General features: G+C 44.4%; 1 annotated feature.

Annotated features, from left to right (window-relative positions):
• Window positions 313–479: a silencer, noted in NCBI's record as "fragment chr1:186214031-186214197 (GRCh37/hg19 assembly coordinates)". NCBI's record gives its function as "represses an EF-1alpha promoter that drives an FKBP-Casp9 reporter gene in an ReSE screen in K562 erythroleukemia cells {active_cell/tissue: K562}" and the evidence as "EXISTENCE:reporter gene assay evidence [ECO:0000049][PMID:32094911]".

The following is a 2,870-nucleotide window of genomic DNA, read 5'->3' on the forward strand; positions in this document are numbered from 1 at the left end:
CCATATCAATACGCTCCTGGGCCCTCCCAAATTTCATGTCCCTTTCACATTTCAGAAATCAATCATGCCATCCCAACAGCCCCCAAAGTCTTAATTCACTCCAGCATTAACCCCAAAGTCCAAGTACAAAGTCTCATCTGAGACAAGGCAAGTCCCTTCTATGTAGGAGCCTGTAAAATCAAAAGCAAGTTAGTTACTTCCTAGATACAATGGGGACACAGGCATTGGGTAAATGTTACCATTCCAAATGGGAGAAATTAGCCAAAACAAAGGGGCTACAAGTCCCATGTAAGTCCAAAATCCGTCTGGGCAGTCATTAAATCTTAAAGTTCCAAAATATCCCTTTTGACTCCATGTCTCACATCCAGGTCACGTTGATGCAAGAGATGGGCTCCTACAGCTTTGGGCAGCTCCACCCTGTGGCTTTGCAGGGTACAGCTCCACTCCCCGCTGCTTTCACCGGCTGGCGTTGAGCGTCTGTGGCTTTTCCAGGCACACAGTGCAAGCTGTCTGTGGATCTACCAATCTGGGGTCTGGAGGACAGTGGCCCTCTTCTCACAGCTCCACTTGGCAGTGCCCCAGTGGGGCCTCTGTGTGGGGGTTCTGACCCCACATTTCCCTTCTGCACTGCCCTAGTGAGGCAAGAGAATAGGGTTTGAAGGAAGGGAACTTAAGGCCAATACTTGCTGAATCAAGGAAAAACACCAAGGTCTGGGGGCAGGGAATCTCGTTCCAATTTTTGCTGACTTCCCAAAGCTGGATCAAAAGGAAAACACCTGGGTCTGGCGGCAGGGAATCTAAAGCCAATTAACACAAACTTCCTAAGGTTAAACCAAAAGGAAAAACCCATCTCCCCACACCTGAGTAACAAAGGATCAAAGGCTACTCTCCCTACAGCCCTCCCCTTCCACCAAGTCTCAGATGGAAAGGGAAAGTGCCTTGGATTGGCCACAGGTGAAATTCATCTCAGCCTTTAATTAGCCACAGACCAAAGCCTTCATCCAGATAGGGGGAAGCTGACAAGAACCTCAGAGTACTTAAAGCCCAGAAAACTTTGTAACTGGGCCCTTGAGCTGCTTGATCAGGCCCGTTCCCATCCTGTGGAGTGCTTTCTCACTTTAGTAAATTCCTGTTTTTGCTGTTTCATTCCTGTGTTTCACTCCTTTGTTACTTTGTGCATTTTGTTCAATTCTTTGTTCAAAATGCCAAGGACCTGGACAACATGTTGTCAAGACCCTCCACCGGTAACACTAGCAGAGGTTCTCCATGAGGTCTCTACTCCTGCAGCAAACTTTGCCTGGTCATTCAGACAATTCCATACATCCTCTGAAATCTAGGTAGAGGTTCCAAAACCTTAATTCGTGACTTCTGGGCACTGGCAGGCCCAACACCACATGGAAGCTGTCAAGGCTTGGGGCTTGCACCCCCTGAAGCAATGGCCTGAGCTATACGTTGGCCCTTTTTAGCCACAGTTGGAGCTGGCCACCAAGCTTGGATGCAGGGCACCAAGTCCTGAGGCTGCACACAGCAGGGGGCCCTGGGCCTGGCCTACAAAATCGTTTTTCCCTCCTAGGCCTTTGGGCCTGCGGTGGGAGGGGCTGCCATGAAGGTCTCTGACACGCCCTGGAGACATTTTCTCCATTGTCTTGATTCCTGGTTACTTATGCAAATTTCTGCATCCAGCTTGAATTCTCCTTAGAAAATAGCTTTTCTTTTCTATGACATGATCAGGCTGCAAATTTTCCAAACTTTTACATTCTGTCACCTGTTGAACACTTTGCTGCTTAGAAATTTCTTCTGTGAGACACCCTAAATCATCTCTCTCAAGATCAAAGTTCCACAGATCTCTAGGGCAGGGCAAAATGCTGCCAGTTTCTTTGCTAAAACATAGTAAGGGTGACCTTTACTCCAGTTCCCAAGAAATTCCTCATCTCCATCTGAGACCACCTCAGCCTGGATTTCATTGACCATATCTCTATCAGGATTTTATTCATAGCCATTCAACAAGTATCTAGGAAGTTCCAAACTTTCCCACATTTTCCTATCTTCTTCTGAGCCCTCCAAACTGTTCCAACTTCTGACTGTTACCCAGTTCCAAAGTCGCTTCCACATTTTAGGGTATCTTTATAGCAGTACCCCACTCTCCATGATACCAATTAACTGTGTTAGTCCATTTTCACAGTGCTATAAAGATACTATCTAAGACTGGGTAATTTATAAAGAAAAAAGGTTTGACTCATAGTTCCACATGGCTGGGGAGGCCTCAGGAAACTTACAATCATGACAAAAGGTGAAAGGGAGGCAGGCACCTTCTTCTCAAGGCAGCAGGAGAGAGAAATGAATGCAGGAGGAACTACCAAACATTTGTAAAACCTTCAGCTCTCATGAGAACTCACTTACTATCATGATAACAGCATGAAAGAAATGGCCTCCATGATCCAATTATCTCCACCTGGTCTCTCCCTTGACATGTGGAGATTATGGAGATTATAATTCAAGATGAGATTTGGGTGGGGACACAAAGCCTAACCATATCATTTATTAAACCTAGAGCGTATATGAACAAAAAGTTCAACAAATATTATATTCAGTAGTGAAACGTTACAAGCATTCCTTTCAAATTCAGGAATATGTCAAGAATGCCACTATTATCACATCTATTTAACATTGTATTGTAAGTTCTGTTCAGCTCAAGAAGGCAATTAAAAGGAAAAAAACTGTGTAAGGATTATAAAGAAGAAAACAAAAGACAGACATATCACCTGTTATTATTCACAGGTGATACGATAGCATAGAAAACCAGAAGGATATACAAACTAGAATTAATAAGAAAGTTTATCAAAGTTGCTAAATATGATATCGATAGGCAA

The sequence above is a fragment of the Homo sapiens genome, chromosome 1 (genome assembly GCF_000001405.40).
Source record: "Homo sapiens chromosome 1, GRCh38.p14 Primary Assembly".
Lineage (NCBI taxonomy): Eukaryota > Metazoa > Chordata > Mammalia > Primates > Hominidae > Homo > Homo sapiens.